Source organism: Homo sapiens, chromosome 10, assembly GCF_000001405.40.
Source record: "Homo sapiens chromosome 10, GRCh38.p14 Primary Assembly".
NCBI classification, from domain to species: Eukaryota; Metazoa; Chordata; class Mammalia; order Primates; family Hominidae; genus Homo; species Homo sapiens.
The window spans coordinates 75,400,660-75,426,027 of record NC_000010.11 but is presented as its reverse complement, the minus strand read 5'-3'; the positions used below and the strand labels follow the sequence as shown (position 1 = coordinate 75,426,027).

The window sequence follows — 25,368 nt, the reverse complement described above, 5'->3', positions numbered from 1 at the left end:
GCACATAAGGGTTCCGGTGTGACTTACCAGTATTAATTCTGAGTCTCTTCCCACTTCTCCGAAAGAAGCCCAGGCTCTCTTCGCAGCTGTGAACCCGGGGCAAAGCAAGTGTCAAGTGCACCTGGCACCACCAGTGCCAGATTCTGAGGGCCAGATGAAGGTTGATACTGCTGGAGCATTGTGGTGGGCGGTGCCCTGGCCTAGGAGAGCTGGGTTCAGGAGCTAGCTTTGCTACTAACTCACTGGGTGCTCATAGATTAGATTAATCCTTCCACTCCTAAGTTCCTCAGTTTCCTCAAATGCAAACTAACTGATCTAAGGAGCTATTGATTACTTAGATAAAAATGCACATCTCCCCAAATCTATTGTATATTTCAAAATACTAGGAGAGAATAATTTGAATGTTCCTAGCAAAAAGACAAATATTTAAAGTTATATATAGCTGAACTACATTGAGGCTGGGCACAGTGGCTTACACCTGTAATCACAGCACTTTGGGAAGCTGAGGTGGGAGGATCAGTTGAGCTCAGGAATTTGAGACAAGCCTGGGCAAGATGGTGAGATCCCCATCTCTACAAAAAAAAAAAAATTTTTTTAATTAGCTGGGCACAGTGGCACACACCCGTGATCCCAGCTATTTGAGAGGCTGAGGCAGGAGGATCCCTTGAGCCCAGGAGTTGGAGGTTGCAGTGAGCTGCAATTGCACCACTGCACTCCAGCATAGGCAACAGAGCAAGACTCCATCTCAAAAAAAAAAATTACATTGATCTGATCTTTACAAATTATATAAATGTATTATATGTACTCCCAAGATATATACATCTATTATGTATCAATAAAAATAAAACTAAAAGAAAGAGAATACACTCACTAGTAGATATTTATTGAGCACCTACTATGTGTCGAACACTGGGAGGACAAATAGTAACAAGACAGATACAGTCCTTACTCCTGTGAGGCTTACATTATGGTGGGAGAAGACAGCTAACAAGTTGAAACATAATTTCAAGTAGGCAAAATACCTCATTTCAGATAGCAGTCATCCATACTATGAAGACAAAAGTGGACAGTGTGAGACAGGGTATGGGAGATGGGGGGTGCTAACCTAGACACAGTGTCCAAGGTCTTTGCTCGCCCTCCAAAGCCTTTTTCTTATGAAATCCTTGAGGAGTGGATCACAGGCTGGATTTTGTCCCCACTCACCCCCTCTGCACAATGCTATTGTGATGCACAAACTGCATGGCCTCAGACAGCTGTGGAATGTTCTGGGAAGGCCTCTCTCAAGTGACATTTGAGCTGAAGTCAGAATCATGAGATGGAGCCAGTCATGGGAAGGCCTTGGGAGAAGGGTTTGCAGAGGGAATAGCAAACACATTCTCTTAGTCTCATGTAGTCACTTTGCTTATGCTTGAGTGGTGAACTTGAACTCGATTGTTTCCAAGGACAAAGTGTCACTCCAACCAGAAAGAAGAGTCTTCCAGTACAGCTGCACCTGGCTTTGATTTGCTCCTCAGCTCCAAATCACAGGTGGACTAAGGCTTTGGGATGCAGCAGCTGGAAGCAGAGTCATTCATGGACACACAGAGGTTCCACAGCTCTATAAAGCATCTGTGGTTTTCTTGAAGAGGGAAAAACGCAGAAGGAGTGCTGGCCCTTATGCATGTCTGCACTGGCACAGAATCTTGTGGACACACAAAAGCACACAAACAGGCTGGGCACATTGGCTCACACCTGTAATCCCAACACTTTGGGAGGCCAAGGCAGGTGGATCACTTAAGGTCAGGAGTTAGATCACCATGGCCAACATGGTGAAACACCATCTCCACTAAAATTACAAAAATTAGGCAGGTGTGGTGGCAGGTGCCTATAATCCCAGCTACTTGGGAGTCTGAGGCAGGAGAATCGTTTGAACCAGGGAGGCGGAGACTGCAGTGAGCTGAGATCATACCACTGCACTCCAGCCTAAGTGACAGAGCAAGATTTTGTCTCAAAAAAAAAAAAAAAAGCCCACAAACATACATGTAAGCACATAGCCACGTGAGACACATGCCAACCTTGGATCCATGTGTGCCATCTCACAGCTATGGTCTGAACCCTGAACCCCATTCCTAGGCATGTCTTGGTCTCCCGTCTCACTGAAATAGCTACTAGTGGCCAGTAGAGAATGCAGACATTATAGGTACCAGTACTTCCTTAAACCTGAGAGGATTTATAGCTTATACTGAGGTGCTAGAAATTTATTCATTCAGTTCATTTGTTCAAAAAATACTAGTTGAGTGCCTACTGTCTGCCTGACAGGAATCTAAACTCTGGAGACATAGCTATAAAAAAAAGAAAAAGAAAGTTTCTACCCTTGTGGAGCTCATTTTCAGTAGAAGAACAGAAAATAAACAAGGAGGTCAGGTGTGGTGGCACACGCCTGTAATCCCAGCACTTTGGGAGGCCAAGGTGGGTGGATCGTTTGAGCCCGGGAGTTCAAGACCAGCCTGGTAAATGTGGTTTTGCCTGTCTCTACAAAGCTACCAAAAAATTAGCTGGGCATGGTGGTGCGCGCCTGTAGTCCAAGCTACACAGGAGGCTGACGTAGGAGGATCAGTTGAACCCAGGAGGATGAGGATGCAGTGAGCTGTGATCCCAGCACTCCAGCCTGGGTAACAGAGCAACACAAGAAAAAAAGAAAGGAAAGGAAAGGGGAAGGGGAGAAGGAAAATACAGAGTGTGATGAGTCCTGTGGAGAACAACGCAGCAGGGAAGGGGGACAGGAGTGCCGGGTACACAGGGTGACGAGGGAAGGCCCCACTGAGAAACTGAGATGAAGCTGAGATCTGCAGGAAGTAGGGGAGAGCCAAGTGAACTTCTAGGGGGAAAATGTGCCTAGCAATAGGAACAGCGAGTGCAAAGGCCCTGAGGCAGCAAGTGCACGTCGGGCTGGAGTTAGTGATGGGGGAGAGTAATGGTAAGTGAAGTCACAGGGCAGGTGTGAAGGGGACAGATCATGTAGGGCCAAATAGGCTGAGGTTAGGACTTGAGTTTGTACTCCACCTGAGATGGAGAGGGTTTTTTGTTTGTTTTGTTTTTGTTTTTGAGACAGGGTCTTGCTCTGGCACCCAGGCTGGAGTGCAGTGGAATGATCCCAGCTCACTGCAGCCTCAACCTCCCAGGTTCAAGCAATTCTTCCACCTCAGCAACCAGAGGACCTGGGACTACAGGTGCGCATCACTACACCTGGGTAATGTTTTTTTAATTTTTTGGAGAGATGAGGTTTTGCCATGTTGCCCAGGCTGATCTCAAACTCCTGAGCTTGCGGGATCTGCCCGCCTCGGCCTCCCGAAGTGCTGGAATTACAGGCATGAGCACTCCTGGCTAAATCGGGGGTCCTGAGCAGAGGATGGGCCTAATCTGACTCACATTTTGTAAAGACTGCTCTGGCTGGCTGGGTGTGGTGGCTCATGCCTGTAATCCCAGCACTTTGGGAGGCCAAGGCGGGCGGATCACGAGGTCAAGAGATCAAGACCATCCTGGCCAACATGGTGAAACCCCGTCTCTATCAAAACTACAAAAATTAGCTGGGCGTGGTGGGGCACATCTGTAGTCCCAGCTACTCAGGAGGCTGAGGCAGGAGAATCGCTTGAACCCAGGAGGCGGAGGTTGCAATGAGCCTAAATTGGGCCACTGCACTTCAGCCTGGCAACAGAGTGAGACTCTGTCTCAAAAAAAAAAAAAAAAAAAAAAAAAAGATTGCTCTGGGCCGGGCGTGGTGGCTCACACCTGTAATCCCAGCACTTCCAGAGGCCGAGGCAGGCGGATCACAAGGTCAGGAGTTCGAGACCAGCCTCACTAACATGATGAAACCTTGTCTCTACTAAAAGTACAAAAATTAGCCAGGTGTGGTGGTGCATGCCTGAAATCCCAGCTACTTGGGAGGCTGAGGCAGGAGAATTGCTTGAACCTGGGAGGTGGAGGTTGCAGTGAGCCGAGATCGGGCCTCTGCACTCCAGCCTGGGCGATAGAGCAAGACTCTGTCTCAAAAAAATAAAAAAAATAAAAAAAGACTGCTCTGGCTGCTGTGCTGGGAATGGATCATGGAGAAGGGACAGAGGCCAGGAGGCAAGACAGCAGGCTGTCACAGGAATCCTGTGGACTGTGAACAGTGCCTGGATGTATTTTGAAGATGGCATCAACAGAATTTTCTGATGGATTGGACATGGAAAGTGTAAGAAACCAATAGTCAAGCGTAGCTCCAAGGTGTTTGCCTGAGCAGCCAGAAGGATAGAGTTGTCACGCTCCATCCCTCACTTTCTGCCGGTCTCGGCTTCATCTCATTTTCTCAATGGGGCCTTCCCTAATCACCCTGTCCACCCTGGTGCTCCCGTCCCCCTTCCCTGCTGTATGGTTCTCCACAGCACTCATTGCTCTCTATTTACTTATTTATTTTTGATTCCCCTACTGAAAGTAAGCTCCACAGGGTGGAATTTCTTTTTTTTTTTTACTACTCTGTTCCCAAAATGTAGAGTCATGTCAGGCAGATTGTAGGCATTCAACAAATAGTTTGATTTTATTTTTTGTTGCATTTTGTTTTGTTTGACAGAGACAGGGTCTGGCTCTGTCCCCCAGCCTGGAGTGCAGTGGTGAGATCTCGGCTCACTGCAACCTCTGGCCCCCAGGTTCAAGCAATCCACCCACCTCAGCCTCCCGAGTACCTGGGACCACAGACACACACCACCATGCTCAGCTAAATTTTGTATTTTTTGTAGAGACAGGCTTTCACCATGTTGCCCAGGCCAGTCTCGAACTCTTGAGCTCAAGCGATCCACCTGCCTCGGCCTCCCTACATGTTGATGATTACAGGCTGAGCCACCACACCCAGCCCAACAAATATCTTTTGAATAAATGAATTGCAATGGATGAGAAAATTAGAGGGTGAAGGGCATCAGGGGTCATTTTTAGACCTGATAAGTTTGAGTTTTTTTTTTTTTTTTTTTTGAGACAGAGTCTCGCTCTGTTGCCCAGGCTGGAGTGCAGTGGCACGATCTCGGCTCACTGCAACCTCTGCCTCCCAGGTTCAAGCGATTCTTCTGCCTCAGCCTCCTGAGTAGCTGGGATTACAGGTGCCCGCCACCACACCCAGCTAATTTTTTGTATTTTTAGTAGAGATGGGGTTTCACCATGTTGCCTAGGCTGGTTTCAAACTCCCGAGCTCAGGCAATCTGCCTGCCTTGGCCTCCCAAAGTGCTGGGATTACAGGCGTGAGCCCCCAAGCCTGGCCTAAGTTGATTTTGATGCTTATTTTTAGTTGGCTGGGTTTTAGAGACAGGGTCTCGCTGTTGCCCAGGCTGGAGTGCAGTGGTACAATCAGAGCTTACTGTAACCTCAAAATCCTGAGCTCAAGTGATCCTCCAGCCTCAGCCTCCCAAAGTGCTGGGATTACAGGCTTGAGCCACGTGCCTGGCCTTGACTTTGAGGCTTGTAAGTGGAGATGACAAGAAGGAAACTGGATACATGAGTGTGGAATTTAAGAGACAGATCTGGACTAGAGTTAGAAATTTGGGAGTCTTCAGCTTTCAGGTGGCATATAAAGCCAAAAGACAGGATGAAAAAGATCTGAAGATTGAGCCCTAGAACCCTCCAACAGTTAGAGGTCAAAGAAAATGGAAGAATCACAAAGAGACTGAGAAGTAGCAACTGGAGAGGAAAGGAAGAATCAAAGGCAAGTTAGGGCCTGGGAGCCAAGAAAAGAAAGTGATCAGAAAAGACAGGGTTCCCAAGGTGATAACCAATGTTGCCAAGGATCACCAGGGGATGTTGAAAGCATGGAATGAATAGGATATTTGCATGGCCTCCAAAGTATCACCTCACAGGCCGGGTGCGGTGGCTCACGCCTGTAATCCCAGCACTTTGGGAGGCCGAAGAGGGCTGATCACTTGAGGTCAGGAGTTTGAGACCAGCCTGGCCAACATGGTGAAACCCCATCTCTACTAAAATTACAAAAGTTAGCCGGGCCTAGTGGTGCACACCTGTAATCCCAGCTACTTGGGAGGCTGGGGCAAGAGAATCACTTGAACCTGGGAGGTGGAGGTTGCAGTGAGCTGAGATCATGGCGCTGCACTCCAGTCTGGGCGACAGAGTAAGACTCCATCTCAAAATAAATAAAATAAAATTAAATTAAAAATAGACACAAAGTGTCACCCCACAGACAAAGGGGAATTTACAAAGGGAAAAATGTACCTCTACAGTGGAGAGATCTAAGGGGCACAACCCTAACCAACAGCTCAGACAGCATCTCCAAGGGTGATACGACCTCACATCATGGGCCTCTGATGTGATTCAATGGGAAGTACATACCACCTGCATGCTGTTCTTGCCATTAAAAGTTTAACCAGGATCCATGGGTGAGGAAACAGACAAATCCAGAAAGTGGAATGTTTTATAAGACAATAACACTAGACTGTCCAAAATAATATAATGAAAAACCAAAAAGGCTGGGAGAACTGTTCTAGATAAAAATGGACCAAGGAGACATGACAGCCAAGTCAAATGCATGCTCCTTTATTGAACACTGGAACTGGAAGAGGGACAGCTAAAAAGACATGATAGGGATAACTGGGAACATTTATATGTGAACTATTTGATAATATTACTGACGATATTGAATTAACATTACTTTTCTGCGTTGTGCTGTCTTGTGGTTTCATAATAGAATATCCTTTTCCTTAGGACATGAAGAAATTAAGAGTAGCCATCAAGATGCCCACAGCTTTCAAATGGTTCCCAAAAATTGTGTGTGGCAGGGTGGGGAGGAGAGGGAGAACCAATGTGGCGAAGTGTTGCCAGGTGGTGAGTTGAAGTGAAGGGTACTGGGCATTCATTGTCCTATTTTTTCATATGTTTGAAAATGTTATAAATAAATACAATGTGAAGGACTGAAAGGAAGATGGCATGATCAACTGCGTCCAGTGCTGGTTAAGGCCAAGTAAATGGAGGACTGAGCATTAACATTGGATTTAACAATTTGTGGGTCATTGGTGACCTTGACGATCTGGACAGCAAAAGAGGCAGGCAAGGGCCAGATGGGAAAGAGCTGACTAGGCCTCACGTTGAGGACAATGGGAGTAAAATTAAGCACGTCGGCATTTTAGAGCAATCAATCTGACAGTTTGGGAAAGGATGGCTGAGAAGGGGGAGAGTAGGAAAATGTCCGCAGAGACCCTGCAAGTGTATCCTACCCCTAGAAAGGGTGGCGAGGGCCTGAAGAGAGAATGCAGCAATAGGGATGCAAGGGGACAGGAGGGGATGGTTGCAAAGAGATTGCCGCCCAACTGCCTTAATGTAATGCCTGTTTGGGAGCAAAGGATGAAGGAGCTTAGATGCTGTCATTCACCAAAATACCACATGATAAGTTCCGTTTGGGACATGATGCATTTGAAAGCCTTCATGCATTGTGCCCTCCTCTGGGGAAAGCAGCAGATGGGACTCTGTAGGACCAACAGCCTGCCTGAGCACCCATGAGTCATTCCCACAGTGCACTCTGTGTCTCTGACGTCTGCACCACGCTTAGGGTGCTGGGGGCCACAGCTCTGGGTGTGACAGTGACCTGAAGATGCTTTTGTTTGTAAAGTTTCTGAATCCCGGGAATCCCTCTCCCCAGAACACCTTCCAAGTCCTGCTGTCCCTGTGGACAGGCTTTCCCTGATGGTCCAGCCTTCAGTGACTGCTCCAGGATCTGAAATGTCATTTTAATGCATCTCCTTGGGCCTGACATGGATGCCTGCTTTTTGGTGGTGTTATGTCCACGCATATCTGTTCCTGACTTCCCAACTAGGTGGTCAGTTCCTTGAATGAAGGGAACCCAGTTTATATCTCAAAATATTCCCAGCCTCGCCCAGAATGGATAATCAATAAACTGGAAAGAAGAGGGAGATGGAGAGTGGGAGGAGGAGGAGGATGAAGGCCATCAGTTAACACTCTTCATACTCAAGATGCCCTAAAAGCTTGCTGTGTTGACTTCTAACCATGGGGACCACTTCTCATTTCTATGGGGGTGGGAGTGGAGTTACCTGGAGGCCATTGCTGTCAACCCCTCTAATTCCTGAGTTAGAAGCCCTAGTAGGAAGCCTCCCTGAAACAGCCCACAGCGCTCTCTCCTGAAGCTGTTTGCAGTAAGTGACTCACCCAATTAAGAGCATCTACATAACAAAGCCTCACCGGGCTGCAGAGGTCACGGAGACTGTGAAGTGTGTCTTTCGTGTATACTCTGGAGAAGGTTCACTAATTACCAGTCATTTCCACCCCTCAAGAGCCTGTCAGCCTTTGAGATGCAAGGGATAAAAGAATCCCCAAATTCCCACCCCACACCAATCACTTCTACCTCCCCAACCCACCCCTGCATTTCAAACCTGTGACTAATAAGTGCCAGCGATGGGTCTCTGCCCACCTGGCTCAGAGTGAGGAGGGAGGAAGGGAGAGGGAAGAGCTTGCCTCCACTAGGAGCATTTGTTAGTAAAAGGCAACTAGGAGGCTTGCATCATTGTCTCTGTTAAACAAGTAAGCAAACAAAACTTGTATTGTTTTTTTCTCAATGTTAAAAGTATGAATGTTTGTAGTAGAAACTACAGGTGAGCAAGAAAAAGTTAAAATCACCCACGACCCCACCCCCTAAGACGACCAGCGGTCCCATAGACTCCCTTGCAGCCAGCTTTCTAGGTGATATGTATTTGCTGTGGGTTTGTGTGCACCCCTGCTCTTTCATAACCAGCTTTTTCCATTTAACGATATATCTTCAACATCTCTTCCCATGAGCACATGGAAAGAATGTTAGAGGTGTCAGGGATGCTTAACTGGGTTAGCAGAGAAGGTGTGTTTTGGTCATTAGAGCATGAGAGGGAGGCATTGCCAGGATTTCTGAAAGCTGAAGGAAGCTCTTGTGAGGCCACAGAGAGCCCTTACTTTTGGAACTTGAGCAACTGACTCTCTCTCTGTGAACCTCAGTTTCGTCATCTGTAAAATGGGGATAACAATATAGGCCTTATAGGATTGTTGCGAGGATTAAGGGAGATCCTGGTTGTGAAAAAACTATACAGGCATTGAATGTTTTATTACCCATTTTAGTAAGTGTTCATTAATTAGTGCCTGCTTGTTACTTAGCTCTCTGCTAGTCTGTGTTGAGAGTATAAAGAAGGCATCTGGTTCAGCCCTGGAGGAGCTTAAGATCTAATTGGAAAGTTAAACACACACATATACACAAAAAGCTAAACAATAAGAATTTAAATAGCTAATAAAATATATCATCAATTAGTAGATAATTAAGTGCCAGATGAGTGGCACAGACAGCAAGCACGCCAGGATTCAGAGGTAAGAAAGAACACGGGATAATAATAATAATAATGACCACTTTGAGCACTCTCTGTGCCAGGCACATGCATTGTCTCATTTAATTTACCCATCGACCATATGAAGTAGAGATCATTATTACATCCATTTGGCAGAAGAGGAAACTGAAACTTCAGAGAGGTGAAGAAGCTTGCCCCAGGTCACACATCTAGCAAGTGTGGTACTGCTGTTCCTTAGACCCAAGCAGTCATGCCCCAGAGACCACCACATGCTGAAGCACCATGTTCTAATCAGATGGACGGAGGGGCAGGGCGGTGCTGTGTCCTGAGCTGGATGGTACAGGAGGGAGCCTAATGAGTACAGATGGGACAAAGAAGGGTGTGTTGGTGCAGGGGGAAGATTCCAGGCTGGCTGGATGGCTGGTCCTCAGGGACAGTGGAAAGCAAGTCTTGACAGTAAGACTGAAGGAGAGCGGCCAGGCATGGTGGCTCACGCCTGTAATCCCAACATTTTGGGAGGCCGAGGTGGGTGGATCATTTGAGGCCAGCAGTTCAAGACCAGCCTGGGCAACATGGTGAAACCCTGTCTCTACCAAAAAAATAAAAATTAGCCAGGCGTGGTGGTGGGCGCCTGTAATCCCAGCTACTCAGGAGGCTGAGGCAGGAGAATCACTTGAACCTGGGAGGCAGAGGTTGCAATGAGCTATCATGCCACTACACTCCAGCCTGGGTGACAGAGTAGGTGACACTCCATCTCAAAAAAAAAAAAAAAAAAAAAACGGATTGAAGGAGAGAAGCTAAGGCACATGAAATGCTTTTTGGCAGAAAATGAATTGTCCATGAGGGTTTGGAGCAATGTGGGATCCAATCAAAGCAGTGTTTGGGAAGGTAGGACTAGGGGAGGCTACCGTAGGAGGATTTCAGATGGGTGTTGAGGAGAACTGAGTTTGAGGCAGAAGCATTTCGGGGAAGATGGAATGCCATCCTTCCTAAAAAGCCCTTATTCCCCTACTTTTTATCTTTGTGACATTTTGGGTTAATCTACATTTGGTTCCCGTGACTGCCGGCCTCATTCTGGCATGTTTACTAACTCCTTTCACACCTGGGTTCTGCAGGAAGTAACTCATTTGCTCCTTCCATAAATGCTTGTGGATCTCCCATTTCAAAGGGAGAATCAGTCAACACAGTCTGGGTGCTAATTATGATTAAGGGGGAAAGAGGTCAAAGATGATGCTAGTGGTCAGAGCTGATCCCCACCAGATCCCCCCAATCCTGCCACATTGGTGGCAGGTCCAGTGGTGCCTGCCCCCCCCCACCCCGCCACAGCCTGGCAGACCCACCCTCCCAACACCAGCCAGCTCCCTGGGCCACTGTTGCCACTTCTCACTGCACACCTCCACCCCCGCTGAAGGGGCTGGTCGCCCTTTTCTTCTGAAGCAGCAGGGCAGGGAGACTGAGAACATGATAAAGCCTTTGGCTGTTCAAGTAAAACGTTGTGAATATGAGAATGTGGTCAAAGAGCTGGTAGGAGTCACTGCGGGGCAGCATGTTCAGTTACAAAGGTGGGGACTAAGAAAGTCAAATCTTTAAAAATCTATTTATATAACCTATATATTAATTTTTTTTGAGACAGGGTCTTGCTCTCCCAGGCTGGAGTACAGTGGTGCTGTCACAGGTCACTGCAGCCTCCATCTCCTGGGCTCAAGCTGTCCTCCCACCTCAGCCTCCTGAGTAGCTGGGACTACAGGTGTGCATCACCGCTCCCAGCTAATTTTTTTCATTTTTTGTAGAGATAGGGTCGCACTATGTTGCTCAAGCTGGTCTCAAACTCCTGACCTCAAGCAATTCTCCCACCTCAGCCTCCCAAAGTGCTGAGATAACAGCTATGAGCCACCACACCTGGCCTAACCTATATTTACTGAATGTAGTTGATGCATATGGTAGACTATGTAGGCAATAAAAGTAAGATGACATCATTTGTGTCCTTATTAATGCCTTGATTAACAGAAAAGGTGAGGGGAAATGAAGGGAAAAAGTAGGGATAGAGACAGAAAAAGAAGAGAAAAGAAGAATAAACACTAAGCCCAGAGACATGAAGCATATTGGCCAAGGTCAAGGTTTGGGAAAGTGCAGTGCAGTGAGTAGGGAAAACCTACCTCTTCCCTGGTACTCCCCCAATACTCACACAAGACCTCAAATGCTTCAGGCCATGACTTTCCCAAGGAAATGTCCCCTGGAGATGTTTCTGTGCCATTGATTGCATTCCACAAACATTTTTGAGCACCCCAAGGTACCAGTTTCTTAAGCTCTTAAGCTCTGCTAAGAAGAAGCAGAGTTGATTGTTTCCTAAGGCGGTCGATCTTGACAGTGTCCTTTGATGCCTTAGACACCTTCATCAGACATATTGGGTGTCATCCAGGCTTGTGGGAGGGAAGGGCTAGAAGGGAAAAAATTCTGTACATTCTCAAACCAGATGGAGATAAAAATCATTTTCTCACCGGGCTTTGGTAAGAGGTAAGATAATGTTGTAAGCTACCTAGAATTGTGTCCAGGACACAGTAGGCACTCAGTAAAACCAAGTGTGATTCTCTCACTCAATGCTGACCTGACTGCTTCTCTTTACTGCATTGATCAGTTTTTCAGCTGAAGTCGTTACCTGGCTAGGTTGGTATTCAGCCAGGCTGTTTGGTGCTGGAGTCCCACACAAGTACCCATCATAGGAACCCACAGACACAACTAAGAAGTAATCACCATTGGACCTGTTTAGAAGCCACCTGAACAGCCAGGCTATGGCAAATCAGTTGACGTTGTTGGTTGTGAGTGACCAGAACTAGCTTTGATTAACTTAAGCAGAAAAGGAATGTATCAGAAGGATATCAGGAAGTTCACAGAATCAGTGGGAAGACTGGAGACCTAGACTTGGGAAATGGACAGGAACTGTCAGCAGCTGGGAAATGGAAATGCGGCTGGCCATGCTACCATACCAGCCGAGTTAGGCCACTGCCTGAGTGGCTGCCATGATCACAGTGCACATGGCAGTGACTGTCCTCTCTGCCCTTCCTAGTCAATGCTATTGCACTGGGCTCACTGCTGCTACTGAGAAGAGTTTCCAAACTACCACAATCCTCTGCTCACCCCTTGAGTCTGAGACCCAGGTAGGGAGCATCCATTGGTTAGAGGGCAGAGAGAGGGAGGATGTGGCCTCTCCCACTTCAGTAATCAGACGCAGGCCCTGCTTTCCAACAAGGAAGAGGATTCAGATGTTAGGCAACCAAATGAGTAGGAAGAAATTAAATGTCCACCATGCAATACTTTACTTGTAGCACTGAAGGTTAAAGGTATTACCACACTTGCCTCCAGGTGTCTTTTGGCCATTCTAAAATACCAAAGCCATGCCATAAAAATGTTTGCCTGCTTCTGAGGCTATTTCAAAAACTATACTTGAAGGCAAGTCTCTAATATAAGTTTCTAAAAACTGTTTTGGACCACTGTGATGGCATTTCGTTTTTTTGTTGTTGTTGTTGTTGTTTTTGTTTTTTGAGACGGAGGGTGGTATTTCTTGTTAAAGAAGGTGAAGAATATGTCTGTCTGTAATTATAAAAATCCCCAATTTCACTGGCTTAAACGAATAGGGATTTTTCTAACAAAATAAAAGTTTTGGAGAAGGAGGATTGTTGGTGATGGCTCAGTGTCCCAATGACATCAGGATTAAGTTTCTTTCTTCTGTTTTCTAGGACTTTCCCTCATAGTCACAAGATGGCTACTACAGCTGTAGATATTATGTCCAAGCTCATGCAAGGAAGGAGGGGAAAGGGAAGGGTCTAACCATAGGCATCATCCCCTTTGATCATGAAAATAGAGTGCTTCTCAACACTCGCTTACTGCTTTGCCACCCCTGTACTTCCACTTGTTCCTCATTTGCCAAAATAGGTTGCATGGCCACCCAGCTACAGGGATGCAAGGGAAAGATGAAAACAAGATTGTCATGATTGGCCTATGCCAATCGCAAACCACTGCCTGGGCCTGGTACACTACTACAGTTTTCAAATGAGGAAGGTGGAGGGAGGTGGATATCAGATAATATATCTAAATTCTGGTATCAGATTTGACCATTGCAGGATTGGAAGTTAGACACACAAGCGTGGAAGACAAGGGCTTTCCAAGGAGAGGAGACAGAAGGAAAACACAGGGCATGTGGGGAGAACAAAGAAATTCAATTTGGCTGACGTGTAAGTAGCTGCACTTTTGGTAAACTATCCTAGAGAAGTAAAATCACTAATTGCAAGGATATAGACATAAGAAATTTTATTAGCAAAAAAAACCTGGTAACAATCTATGTGCCCACTAATAGGGGAATGGTTGAATAGGTGCAGTATATACATCTTATGAAACATTATGTAGCTGGCCAGCATGGTGACCTGTAATCCCAACAGTTTGGGAGGCTAAGGCAGGTGGATCCCTTGAGCTCAGGAGTTCAAAACCAGCTGGGGCAACATGGAAAAACCCCATCTCTACGAAAAATACAAAAATTAGCCAGGCGTGGTGGTGTGTACCTGTAGTCCCATCTACTTGAGGGGCTGAGGCGGGAGGATCGCTTGAGTCTGGAAGGTCAAGGCTGCAGTGAGCCATGTTTGTGCCACTGCACTCCAGCCTGGGCAACAAAGTGAGACCCTGTCTAAAATACATACATATATACATACATTAAAAAAAAATAAAAATAAATTAAAATTACTATGTAGCTAAAAAATGAATATATTCATTCCATATCTATAGACCCATTTATTATTAAGAATGAATGAGCGAGTTGCAGAGACCCCTAATATAATCCTTTTTGTATAAATAGGCAATAACACAATAGCTCCACATATATGAATATAGTTTATTATGAGCATGGAGCATGGTGAAAGAGGTAGAAGTTATACCCCAGGTCCTTAACAATGGATGTCTTGGGAGACTGGGTGGGAAATGCAGAGGAGGTGAGGAAGATCACTGATGTTTTTCTTTGTATATCTTTGAGTGTTTTCCTGGTTGAGGTGAACATGTGTTTCTTTCATAATTTTGGAATGCATCTTAAAGCTTTACAAAAGTAGTTTGGAAGTGGGCTATGAAGAGTCAAGTGTTACACTGTATCATAGGGAGCCACTGAAGAGTTTTGAGTAAGGGAATGATGTGGTCAGGAAAATTAACCCAGCAGGAGTATGTATGATGGATTAGAGGCAGGAGAGGTGGAGGATGGGCAGAACAATTAGAAGGTTCTTGTAGCAGCAGTTAAGTCAGAAACTAGTAAGAACTGAACTGTGATAGCAATAATATGTGAAGAAAGGAAGAGGAAAGGGGGTGCAGGCTAGAGCCTTGAGACATACATGCCCAACACTGGGAGATGGTCGTGGGTGGCATGGTTTTCCATTAAATTGTGTCAACCAACACATCTTGCATCTTGAAACCCTGAATAAATGGCTGTAATCCATGCATATTCCTCTTCTCCAACCTCCTCCAGCATCCCCTTATTTGACATTTACAATAAAGGCATTCAAAATAACATATGTTTTCATGAGATTTGTATCATCGCCCTCATTAAGTTGAGAACATCTTGGAATGTGAGACCATGGAGAATACTTACTGGTGGCCCCAAAAAGGGCAGTTTCATTCGTTCATCATAGTTGGTGGTTTATACAAATGTTCCTTCTTCATTTGTTCCTTGAAGGAACGGCCCTAGTCCCTACCCCCTGGGAGTTTACCATCCAGTGAAGCGGACAGACTCTCAACAGGAAATTCTATTATAAGTGAGGGTAATGGGAGGCGGGAGGATGCAGGAAAGTGATGTGTGAGCTGAGACCTGAAGGAAGAGTATGCGCAAGCCAGGTGAAGAGAAGGACAGGTCATTCCAGAGAGACAGAGAAAAGCAGGAGCAAAGCCCTTGAGGTGGGGAGTAGCATGGCACATTTGAGGAACTAAAAGGAAGCCTTGGGTAGCAGGAGTTCCAGGTGAGGGGGTGTGGAGGCAGACAAAGGCAGAAAGGCAAGCTGGGGCAGAGCCAGTGTAGACCCGCCAGCCAGGGGAGGCAAGCTCAACTTGTTCTCAAGAACAATGGGAACCCGGATGCCTTTAAGCAGAAGAGAAACATGGTTGGATTTGCTTTTTAAAAAAAGAGCATGCTGGCTTGGGCTGGGACTACAGGGAAACAGCAAGGAATGCTCAATGGTCCGGTTTTCCCATTAGGCTGGGAGCTGGCCAGGGGCTGAGATGACCCCATGCCATTTATACTGTTCTCCTCTGTGCAGATCTCCCTCCTGCTCTGCACTGGCTTCAGCTGCAAATGGTTGTGGTTAACAGGCTGGTACTCCCCCATCAGAAAAGTAGAATTCTCCCTCCAATACTCCCCCAGAGTAAGGAGTTGGCATGCCCCAGATCTGAAGGAAAGAAGGGATGAGGATGGGATGCGGGTGAGGCAAGGCAGATTTCTTCTCTCTGTGCCTCAATTTCTTTATCTATGAAATGGGGCATTCATGGTACCTACCTCAGAGAGTCGCTGTGGGCGAGGACATAATTCATACAAAATTTTTAAATGGCACCTGGCACAAAATGAACAATCAAAAAGTGTTAGTTTTTGCTTTTGTTCTTCCTGAAAGATAGGTGGGACCCTATGAGCACGGACTATATTCCCCACTGTCCAAGAGGACGGCTGATCACATCCGCAGAGAGAGCGTGAGGACCCCTGGGCCAGGCAGGTGTCAGGAGTACCAAATGACCTAAGTTTCAACAAATCTCACGTGCAAGTTTGGGCCTGGGATCCTAGTCTGCAGATGCTTCTGTTCCTATGACTTAAAAAGAGAGTACCCCCAGGTGAGGAAAAGGGAGCCGCCCTGTGCCCTCCTGCGAAACCCGGTTCAGCCCGAGGCCTCCGGGGTTGGGGGCGCGACTGGGGGGGCGCCGTGGCCTGAGATCCAGCTCCGAGTCGGTGGGGGCGGAGCCTGGCCTGGAGCGGGCGGGCCCGCGCGGCGGAGGGGCGGGACCGGCGCGGCAGCCCGCAGCCCCACCCCCAACGGAAGTGCCGCCGGGCCCGCCCCTCCCTCCTGAGGCCCGTTCCCCTCGCCCCTCCCTCGGCCCACTCTTCATGGCTCAATTTCGGCTCCCGGAGCTGGTTCTACCAGGGCCCCAGCACCGGTCCAGAGAGGAGGCCCCGGGTCCGCGCGTCTGGTTGTGTCGGGCGGTGCTCTCTGTCCTTCTCACTCCCCAGCCCTCCCTTCCATTTCTCGGTTACCTGCGCGGCTGCAGGCGCCGCCGGGGACTGCACAGGTAAAAGTCTCGGCAAGTGAGGGCGCAGGTGTGGGCGCCTCCTGGGCCAGGCGGGCAGGGGAGAGGCCGACGGCACGTGCCTGGCTCTAAAAAGATTTTTTTTTTTTAACAGGGATTGTATTGACAGTGGGGGCTTGGGGAGGGCAGACACGGACCCTGGGAGCGCTGCAGGGCACTGGGGGGAGAGAGGGGCGGGACTGAAGCCCCGGAGATTGGGGGCCGGTTCCTTTACGGCCCCGCAGCTTGCGCAGGCTCCGTGGTGCCTGGGAGGTGGTGCGCCGGTTGGGTGGGGGCGGGTCCAGGCCGCGGCGTCGGAGAATTGTCCCCCATCCAGTCCCCGCGATGACTGGGTTTTGACAGCCTCCCCTCCCGAGCGCGCACATTCCCAGGTTTGCAGAATGAAAATCAATAAAATCGATGCAGTGGCAAAGAACGCGAAACATGTTGGGTTATTATTATTATTTGTGTTTGTTAAATTTTTTTTCTTTAAACTTTTTTCTTATAAAAGGTGGTTTCAGCTTGGATAATGGCCTCAGAGAGGGACGAAAAACGCCCCCTGGTTTCCCAGCAGGGTCCGGGGACCCGTCTTAGGTCCCAAGCCTCGAAAAACGTCCCAGGGCGGCTGTGCGGGGTCTGGCGGCGGGAAAGAAGCCCGGGGCACGCTCGGTTTCCGGATACGGCTATTCACCGCACCTCACCCTCTGCCCTTTAGGGAGATGGCCCCCCTCCACCGATATTTCCCCGGTTCACCACCCCCACGCCCCGGGAACCGCGCCTCCTCCCCTCCCCCGCGCTCTCCCCGGCGCTTTAAGTAATGATATTTGCATGCAGGGAGCGATTCATAAATATGTCAGGGCTGGTGAAATATAGGCAACATTTCAAACTTTCTATTTAAAAAACATGAATTATGGCCGCGGAAAATGTGTTCCCATTTAAAGGCGATACGAAGTATTTGGTGTCTCGTCCCCGGGCCCATCCATCACGCAGACAATAAAGAGAGTTTTTCGCCCTGACACCCGCGATTTATGGGCGCCCTTCTCTGCCCTCATCACTCACGCGCCGCGGCCGGCCTGGCGACAGGCCCCGCGGAGAGACGCGCGGCCGCCCCCGCGCGGGCCAGCGCGCGCACTTTGCGCCCTCGCTGGCCCCGCAAGATCTCGGCTCCCAGAGGGAAGCACCCGCTCCCAGGAGTTGGGGGATCGGTCTTGAGGGTCTGGGCAGCCGAGTGGGAGCAGAAACCACACTGGTCCTCCCACCCGCGCAGCCTCTCAGGGCCGGGGCCGAGCGCGCCGCGGCGGGGTTTTGCTAGCCTTTGCTGTGTCCTGGCCTCAACGGCGCCGCGCCGGGAAGTTTGCAGGGCAGGCGGCGGGAAGTTATTTAAGCACTGGCTCGAAGTGAGGACAGAGAACTGGGCAGGGGGTTACCCAGGCCAATTCTTGGGCCATTCCGCCCCAAGGAACATGGAGCTGTCCCCAAGCTTTCTTGAGCCCCGCCGGGCGGACGCTTCTCGGCTAATCTTTCTGCAACTTTTACAAAGCTGCCTCCTCCCCAGTTTGATCTCTGCAAACACATCCTGGGCGTCCGCGGCAGCTTGGAAACTATTTTTACCGTCTGGGGCCGAGGAGTTGCATTGAAATAAGGAAGGCGAGGCGCCTTCTCTAGCGTTTCACCCCGGACCAGGCTGGGTCACCCAGTGGCCTCTTTGCTCCCCCGCCCCACCCTTCGTGCGCCTTCCAGAGCCGCCATCGAATCTCTCTTGCTAACTTGCAGCGCTCTGGGGGTTCTCCAGACACAGGCGCAGGAGGGAGCCTTCGTCGAGGAAAGTTCCGGCTACCTCTGTTGGGGAATTTGCTTTCATTTTTCACCGCGGGCGAACCTGGCCAGGCGGGTTTCCGAAGCACTGGCAGAGGTGGGGGCTGCCAGGCACTGCCAGGCAGCGAGAGGCCGCTCGACCTGGGGGCGCCGCTTGTCCAGCCTCCCTCGGAGGGCAGACTTGCAGCCACCCGGGCACTAGAAACCACCTCGAGTCCTGCGTTGGGCCGAGGTGTCGGCGTACACGCGAGCCGGGAGCCGTTTCTTGCAGGATGCCTGCGAGCTGGATGTATTCGGATAAATGCAGCGCAAACGACAGCCAGAGAAATCCCGTCGATTCTAAAAATGACAAGGTTGAATTTATTAGACTGAGAGTCATGTTTAAGTGCAGGGAGATGAAAATTATACAAACAGCTCCACGTCCAGTGTGAACACCACTGATCGCTTCCAGCTTCTAGGGCATGTAATTAACACATCTGAATATTTAGATCTAGAGAGAAATATAAAAATACTCTTAAATTCTCCGTGTGTGGACATATATTTCAGTTGAAAACATTCTAGAGCAAGTGTCCTTTACAGCCCCTGCTTGGGTGTCATCTGGGCTGGAGATAGAACTTATGTTCAAATAACCACCCAGAGAATATTATCTATAACCAGAGTGAGTCCCGCATCGCTGAGGGTTACGGTATCTACAGATCTTTAAATATCTGCAGCGTGGCAGAGGTGAAATAAATGTATTTAAGAAAAGCAGGCGCGAAGATAACCGAGCCACTGTGTCCAAACAATATTTCTGGGCATGGAAATAAATTTCCTACAAGGTCGGCAGTGGAGAGTGCAGACAAATGGAGAGGCTTTGGGAAACCCTGTGTGGGGGCCACCGGTCCTGGACCCCATGCACCATGCAAGTTGAAGTGGGCTCTATTGGATGTCCGTGGCCTCGGACTGCGGCGTGACTGCTGCGAGAGGCTCGGCCCTGACGCCCAATACTGCAGCGCTCTGGGGGTCCTCCGAGATACAGGCGCGGAGAGCCTTCGCGGCGCACTGAACCCGACATATGAGGTGGCAGGCCTGGGCTCCCTCGGGCAGCCCTTTCGTCACAGACACTTCAGCTACCCCTCAATCCTGGCTCCACCTGGCTCCGGCAGTGGCCGTTTGGGCCTACAGATGTGGAGGAAGAGCGCAGAAAAAGGCGGGTCCGGCTCGATTCCGAGGCATCCCAAAGCAGGAAGCCGGAGGCCACTGGGAAGAAGGCCACGATTTTTGCGCCTTCTAGAAGCGAGGCCCCACCCAAACTCTTGGGACACTAACTTGAGGCCACAGAGGCAGTTATCTGGGTGTATTTACTTGTATCAGGCACCCACCCACACACACATAGTCACTACTGAGGCCTGGATGCCCCCTTGAGTCTTATCTACATATTTGAAAAGCCCGGGCAACGCCAACAGCGAGGTCGGCAACGTTACAGCTATGAAATTCCAAGGCAAAATACTAATTCCAGAATAGGACAACTGTCCACCAGTCTCTCTCCCTCTTTTTCCTCTTCACCCCTCCAAACCCACCCAACCCTTAAACAGGCGCAGAGCTTCTCAGAGCCCCTGCTCGGAAAGAGATTATAGAGGACTTTGCCATGAGTTTCTGGGAACTGCACACTCCTGGGGCAACCCGGGAGAAATAACCCGGGCCCTGAGAACATCCTACTCCAGGCAGTGTGGCTGCGCAAGAAAGGTTTATACGGCACACCAAGAAGAGAGAGCCAGAATGGGAAATACTCCCTGGCAAGTAAAAAAAAGGGAAAAGGAAAAGGAAATGAAGGAAAAAGATGGGGGAGCCCAGAAAGACGCGGGAGAGAAAACAAAAAGAAGGGAGGAAGAAAATAAATGAGAGCCGAGGAGAGCGCAGGCCGTGGCGAGACCCCGGGCCGGGCCGCGGCTCCTGCACGCCAGGCTTCTCCCCTGCCCCGAGCAGCGGCGAGGGCCGCGCGGGACTGTCCCCTACTGGCCCCGCGAATCTGGGCCTTGCTCCCAGTCAGGTGGGGCGGACCTGGGTGCAGAGGCCTCCGCGCGCGCTTTCTCTCCCCGCTCCCAGGGACCGCGAGGCGGGGCAGGACAGGGGTGGGGAGGCCCCCGGGGGCGCGCGCCAGTCCGGGACTGTTTGGGTGCTCTGGGCCAGGCTTTCCAGCTCGCCGGGCCTGACCTGTCAGGCGGATTATCTTCGAGGGAGATTAATAGGGGAGGCGGGCTGCAATAATAATCGTTTTGTTTGATGTGACAACTCTGATAGGCGTTGATTTACTTACAAACTGATAGGCTTTTAATTGAGCGCCTCCGCCGAGCCCGAGATGAAAGGGAAGCGGCGGTGAAAGGCGGCCCGCCTGCCCTCCGGCCTCAATACTGATTAGCCATCTCGACAGTGAATAGTTCAAGGCATTTTCAAACTTTTTTCCTCAGCTCTTTCCCCTTCCTTCTCCTCCTCCCACCCCCTCCTCCAATATCTGCCTTGCCCACTCCTTTTTTAGAGAAAACAAATCATTTCCATTGTTTGCAAATAAAATCCGCAGGACATCCACGCCAACTGCTGCTGGGGGTTGGAGGCTTTAGGCCTGGCGCAGAGTAATTAATGGCCCCCACTCCCGGGCCCGCGCCGGCCTTCGGGGGTTTGGCCTCCTGCGCGAGGTGCGCAGGCTCGGACGCTGGCGCCTCCCAAAAGCCCCGGGCGCGCAGGCCCCCAGGCGCCCCCATGCGCTCGGACCCTCGGAGTGGAGTTTTGAGAAAAGCGAACGCACGCTGACCACGACCCGCACCCACGCAGCACAGCGCAGCCCCACGAGCGTGTGTGGCCACACCGGGGGACGCAGGAGCCACTCCACGGCCCCCCCAGGCTTCAGGTGCTGAGGCTGCCTCCCCTGAGCCGCCGGCGTAATAAGCTGCTGGAATTAGAGGAGAGGGGGAAGAGCTGAGTCTGGAGGCTGGGGAGGGACGCCCTTGGCTGCGTCCCCCCCGGCCCTGTCGCAGGCCCCAGAATTTCAGTGCCCGGGCCTCGCGGGGAGGCCGCGGCGATAGCGGCCCAAAGGTGGGCTCGCGGCGTTAGGAGCACTACCATTGGTTGGGTCGACACCTAGACGGCCGCGCACTCAGTAACCAGGCACACATGGACACACCCGAAGGATAAGAGTGCTTCACAGACGCGCTGCCCCGCAGAGACAGCGTAGGACTGTCCCGCCCTCCGAAACGCGCACCTGGGACTTGCTCCCCGGAGACCAGACAACCGCCTCCCTCAGCGTGGGGCCTCGCCACCCGCTCGCCGACTCACCTCCCTCAGATGTCGCACGGACACTACAAACCCCCTTGAATGCAGGTGTGCTCTTACACGCTCACACTGACAAACACCAGCCCCAAGCACACACCGCCTCACTCCCCTCTTCTCTCCAAATGAGCTTCAGTCAAGTTACCATTTCATAAAGTTTACCAACCCAAAGAATCAAGGGATAAAATCCAAACGCAGAAAAAGAATGCCTAGGAGCAAATTCTAAAACTCACCCCGGAAAGTTCTCGGTACCCGTGCGGAGTGGGAGACAGAGAAAGAAGCCGGGGAGGGGAGTCAGGTGGGGGAGGGGAGTGAGATGGGCCAAGAGGAGAGGGCGAGCATACCAAGGGCAGTTCCAGACCCGACCCCCGCGCGCACCCGGCTCAGCCCCAGGTGCGCGCCGGTCGAAACCGGGTCTCCAGGCTCGGCCCCCGCCCCCCACGCGGGCACAGACTGGCTCCCGACTCCCAGAGCTCCCAGCCCCACCATTTATCAAAAGGACTTGACAACAAAAGAAGAGCCGGGGCGGAAAAGCGGAGGAGGGGAGATTCAAAGTCTTCTAAGTCGTTCCGAGGAAGGGGGTGTGTCCTCCTCCCCACCCCCTCTAATTTCTGCGAGTTCCTGGAGGAGACCCTCGAACCCGCTCCGGACGCTATCAGAGCCCCGATAACTCACGCAGCGCCACAGGCATGCATACACACTGGGCATCCAGGTCCAGGTACCCGGTGGCACGCACAGCGCCTCCCCTTTTCTTCCCAAACAACCCGAGTGACGGTGCAAATCGAGGGGAACGCGGCAGTCCCGCTCCGCTTCCCTGGAAGAACCCGCGTTCCCACAGGCAGCCGCCCCCTCCCTCTCTCGCTCCTTCCCTCGGCTCTCCTAGCGCAGCTCATTCCGACTCGGCGTTCCAATAAATTCGAGAGAGCAGCCCCGAGTTACCCTGGCTCCCCAGCCTGCGGGGATGGCGGCAGGTGGGAGAAGGTCGGGGAGGGGGCATGAGTGAGCCTGAGATGTTTCTTCCCCCATACACCCATGGCCAGGCCTCTTCTTCGCAGCCTCTTAGCCCTGCTTACGACCCGAGGGGGTCAAAGAATTGAGGCGAGGTTTGCCCCACCATTGACCTCCAGGACTAGAAGTTCCTTGGTGGTGTGGCTCTTAGAAGTCTCCGAGTTTGGGGTTAGGGAACTACAGAGGGTGGCAGCCTGACCTCCGCACGCAACACGCCCCGCGAGGACTCGCGGCGGCGGGGTGGGGTGGCGGGAAATCTCCCGTGTTAGAAGTTGCCGCCGCTGGTCTCGGGTACCCGGAGCCGCGCCCGAACTCCGCGACCCCAACAGACCGAGGCTCCCAGAGGTGGAAGGGCGTCTCTCCGACACCGAGAGGGCAGGCGCACACTCCAGGCCTGCGCGCCCCTCTCGGCGCCCTGGGCGCACCTGCGCACTTTACTCTCGCTATTCATTTTCCTGACACCGTGCGCCTCTTTCATTCTTTTTCTTAGAGCCCCCACCCCACCCCCATCCCAGGAGGCCGCTCCTCTTTTCCCCTCCTCCAGTTCCCTCTCAATCTCCTCCTTCCTCTCCGTCTCTCTCTCCCTCTCTCTTTTTCCCTTCAAGTCGCACCCGCCTTGTAATCAGCAACAAAAGCTGACATAAATCACGGGAGGATTGACAAGAGCTGACAAATAACTGATTGATTGCGGTCGAGGAACATTGACAATTGATGGAGGGGTGGAGATGCCCAAAGAAGGGGGGGAGGGAGGAAAACAGGGTGGGAGAGTAAGAATGGGGGGTTGGGGGACAGACTGAGGGTGAAACAGAGGAAACATGTGACCCCCGCTGCTGCCCCAATCTACGCGTCCCCGGGCGTCACGTGGCCGGGAAGGGCGGAGAGCCCAGCGCTCCTCGCGGTGTTGAGCCGCCGCCGCTGCGACTGCCCATCTAGCTTCTGGTTTCTCCGCCGCGGAATCTGAGGAAATTAGAGCGGGCGGGCGGGCTTCTTCCAGCTCCGGCTCCCCACCTTGCCTTCTTACCCTGGTGGCTGCGCTGCGCCGCGCGGGATCTCGATTACTGCGAAGGAAAAAACACTGGGTGTGCAGGTTCCCTTCGCCCCTGGAGTTGACAGTCCGGCCGGTGTCCACACTCCCACCGGTGCTCCTTCTGGACACCCCCCGCAGTCTGTTCCTCACGCGCACCCCCCTTCAAAAGAAGGTTTCAGTTTATTTTCGAGCTGGGGAAAGGAAGAACGACGAGGAGGAAAAAAGAGGGAGGCGGCGGATGGCAAACGTAGAATAAATGTCCATCTCGTCCTCCCAGCGAAATCGAGGGAGGGGACACACAGGGGGGCGGCGAAGAGGGAGCTGCCCATTAAAACCGGCACTGAGAGTCCTGGCAGCGGCGGCGGCGGCGGCGCGGGACGCGTCACATCCCCTTGACCCTCCAATCACCTCGGGCTCCCATTTGATTGGAAGGCGGCAAAGGCTTTAATCTCCCCCTTGGTGCAGCTGCTTTTGAAGTGAGTTTCCTCGCCAGAGCCCCGGCTGGACACGCAGCGGCTCGCATCGCAGAGCGCAGCGCCGGCGCGGGGCCGCGAGAACGCAGCGCAGGGGAGCAGCCCGAGGCGGACACCGCGAGCCGCCCGGCACTCCCGCAGTCCAGCCGGCTCCTCTAGCCCGGCCACGGCTCCGCTGCGGGCCACCCAGGATTACTCGCGTCTGGCTCCAGGCGCCGAGAAGGCGCGCTGGGCGCCCGTGGCCGCCGCGCCAGCTCCTCCTCCTCCCGCTGCTCCTGCTCCCGGGGCGAGCGCGCAGCCCCGAGCCCGCCCCGCGCCTCCCGGAGCCCTCCCCCCCGCTGCTCCCATGCGCGCGGGTGGGTCATGAGCACAGCGCCCTCGCTTTCTGCCCTAAGAAGCAGTAAGCACAGCGGCGGCGGCGGCGGCGGAGGCGGAGGCGGCGGTGCAGACCCTGCCTGGACCAGCGCGCTCTCTGGAAATAGCTCCGGCCCCGGCCCAGGCTCGTCCCCGGCCGGCAGCACCAAGCCTTTTGTGCACGCCGTGCCCCCCTCTGACCCCCTGCGCCAGGCCAACCGCCTGCCAATCAAGGTGCTGAAGATGCTGACGGCACGAACTGGCCACATTTTGCACCCCGAGTACCTGCAGCCCCTGCCTTCCACGCCGGTCAGCCCCATCGAGGTAAGGACCCTCTCTCTGGATCGCACTGGGACCACTACCCTGGCTGCCACCCTAGGGCTTTCTTTTTCTCGGGATCTGGGCGGAGGTGGGGGGGTCGGAGTGATTCAGCTCCCGAATGGGGGAAGAGGCTACTGCTTCCGTACCTCAAAACTAGGGCGGAAAAGGGGGAGGAAGTGGAATGGGGCGTGCATGCTAGGGAGCAAGGCTGCCAATACTTGTTTCTCCTTTCGATATGAAAGCCCCTACCCCGACCCAGGCCCCTTCACTCGGCACCGAAGGCAGGCGGAGGTCTGAAATACGGTTCCAAAGTCGCCGTCCTTCGTATCCGCAGAAGCCAGTGTGTGCACACAGCCTCTGAGGCGCCAGCCGCCCGAGCCCTTACTCTGAAGAATTAAGGAGTGTTTGTGGGGAGGGGGTACAGTTCTGGGTCTAGGAACCGAAAACC

At 51.7% G+C, this 25,368-nt stretch overlaps 1 protein-coding gene and 2 long non-coding RNA genes across 9 annotated transcripts in view, besides 7 other annotated features; 1 reads left to right on the top strand and 2 right to left on the bottom strand.

The window, feature by feature from the left end:
• Nucleotides 1-14,703: 14,703 nt before the first annotated feature.
• LOC101929234 (uncharacterized) lies at nt 14,704-16,871 on the bottom strand. The gene is made up of 3 exons (NR_110304.1): nt 16,588-16,871; nt 15,844-15,898; nt 14,704-15,736 (listed from the first exon to the last, which is right to left on the bottom strand). It is a non-coding gene; the product is annotated as an uncharacterized LOC101929234 (long non-coding RNA).
• A 174-nt stretch (nt 16,872-17,045) lies between these two features.
• ZNF503-AS2 (ZNF503 antisense RNA 2) lies at nt 17,046-24,500 on the bottom strand. 6 transcript variants are annotated; one of them, NR_024421.1, is made up of 2 exons: nt 23,767-24,500; nt 17,046-18,773 (listed from the first exon to the last, which is right to left on the bottom strand). It is a non-coding gene; the product is annotated as a ZNF503 antisense RNA 2 (long non-coding RNA). The 6 variants fall into 6 exon arrangements; NR_110301.1 differs by lacking the exon at nt 23,767-24,500 and adding an exon at nt 22,945-23,131; NR_110299.1 differs by lacking the exon at nt 23,767-24,500 and adding an exon at nt 22,677-22,974.
• Nucleotides 18,338-19,078: an enhancer, noted in NCBI's record as "H3K27ac-H3K4me1 hESC enhancer chr10:77166708-77167448 (GRCh37/hg19 assembly coordinates)". NCBI's record gives its function as "activates a minimal SCP1, AML or CMV promoter by ChIP-STARR-seq in naive H9 embryonic stem cells {active_cell/tissue: H9 hESC(naive)}" and the evidence as "EXISTENCE:reporter gene assay evidence [ECO:0000049][PMID:30033119]".
• Nucleotides 19,079-19,818: an enhancer, noted in NCBI's record as "H3K4me1 hESC enhancer chr10:77165968-77166707 (GRCh37/hg19 assembly coordinates)". NCBI's record gives its function as "activates a minimal SCP1, AML or CMV promoter by ChIP-STARR-seq in primed H9 embryonic stem cells {active_cell/tissue: H9 hESC(primed)}" and the evidence as "EXISTENCE:reporter gene assay evidence [ECO:0000049][PMID:30033119]".
• Nucleotides 19,819-20,559: an enhancer, noted in NCBI's record as "NANOG-H3K4me1 hESC enhancer chr10:77165227-77165967 (GRCh37/hg19 assembly coordinates)". NCBI's record gives its function as "activates a minimal SCP1, AML or CMV promoter by ChIP-STARR-seq in naive H9 embryonic stem cells {active_cell/tissue: H9 hESC(naive)}" and the evidence as "EXISTENCE:reporter gene assay evidence [ECO:0000049][PMID:30033119]".
• Nucleotides 19,819-21,300: a biological region, named in NCBI's record as "VISTA enhancer hs484".
• Nucleotides 20,147-21,222: an enhancer, noted in NCBI's record as "VISTA enhancer hs484". NCBI's record gives its function as "enhancer in: midbrain (mesencephalon)[7/7] | limb[3/7] | branchial arch[6/7] | eye[3/7] | nose[5/7]" and the evidence as "EXISTENCE:transgenic organism evidence [ECO:0001131][PMID:17130149]".
• Nucleotides 20,560-21,300: an enhancer, noted in NCBI's record as "NANOG-H3K27ac-H3K4me1 hESC enhancer chr10:77164486-77165226 (GRCh37/hg19 assembly coordinates)". NCBI's record gives its function as "activates a minimal SCP1, AML or CMV promoter by ChIP-STARR-seq in naive and primed H9 embryonic stem cells {active_cell/tissue: H9 hESC(naive and primed)}" and the evidence as "EXISTENCE:reporter gene assay evidence [ECO:0000049][PMID:30033119]".
• The window catches only part of ZNF503 (zinc finger protein 503), a 122,192-nt gene continuing 120,935 nt past the window's right edge, over nt 24,112-25,368 (top strand). Inside the window, exon 1 of one of the 2 annotated variants that reach the window (NR_120651.2) lies at nt 24,112-24,923. Coding sequence is in view for 1 of the 2 variants with exons in the window: in NM_032772.6 (NP_116161.2) it covers nt 24,609-24,923 (315 nt within the window). In the remaining variant the exon portion in view is untranslated. The remainder of the gene's footprint in view (nt 24,924-25,368) is intronic. The other variant, NM_032772.6, reaches the window with a different exon arrangement.
• Nucleotides 24,762-25,262: an enhancer, noted in NCBI's record as "H3K4me1 hESC enhancer chr10:77160524-77161024 (GRCh37/hg19 assembly coordinates)". NCBI's record gives its function as "activates a minimal SCP1, AML or CMV promoter by ChIP-STARR-seq in naive H9 embryonic stem cells {active_cell/tissue: H9 hESC(naive)}" and the evidence as "EXISTENCE:reporter gene assay evidence [ECO:0000049][PMID:30033119]".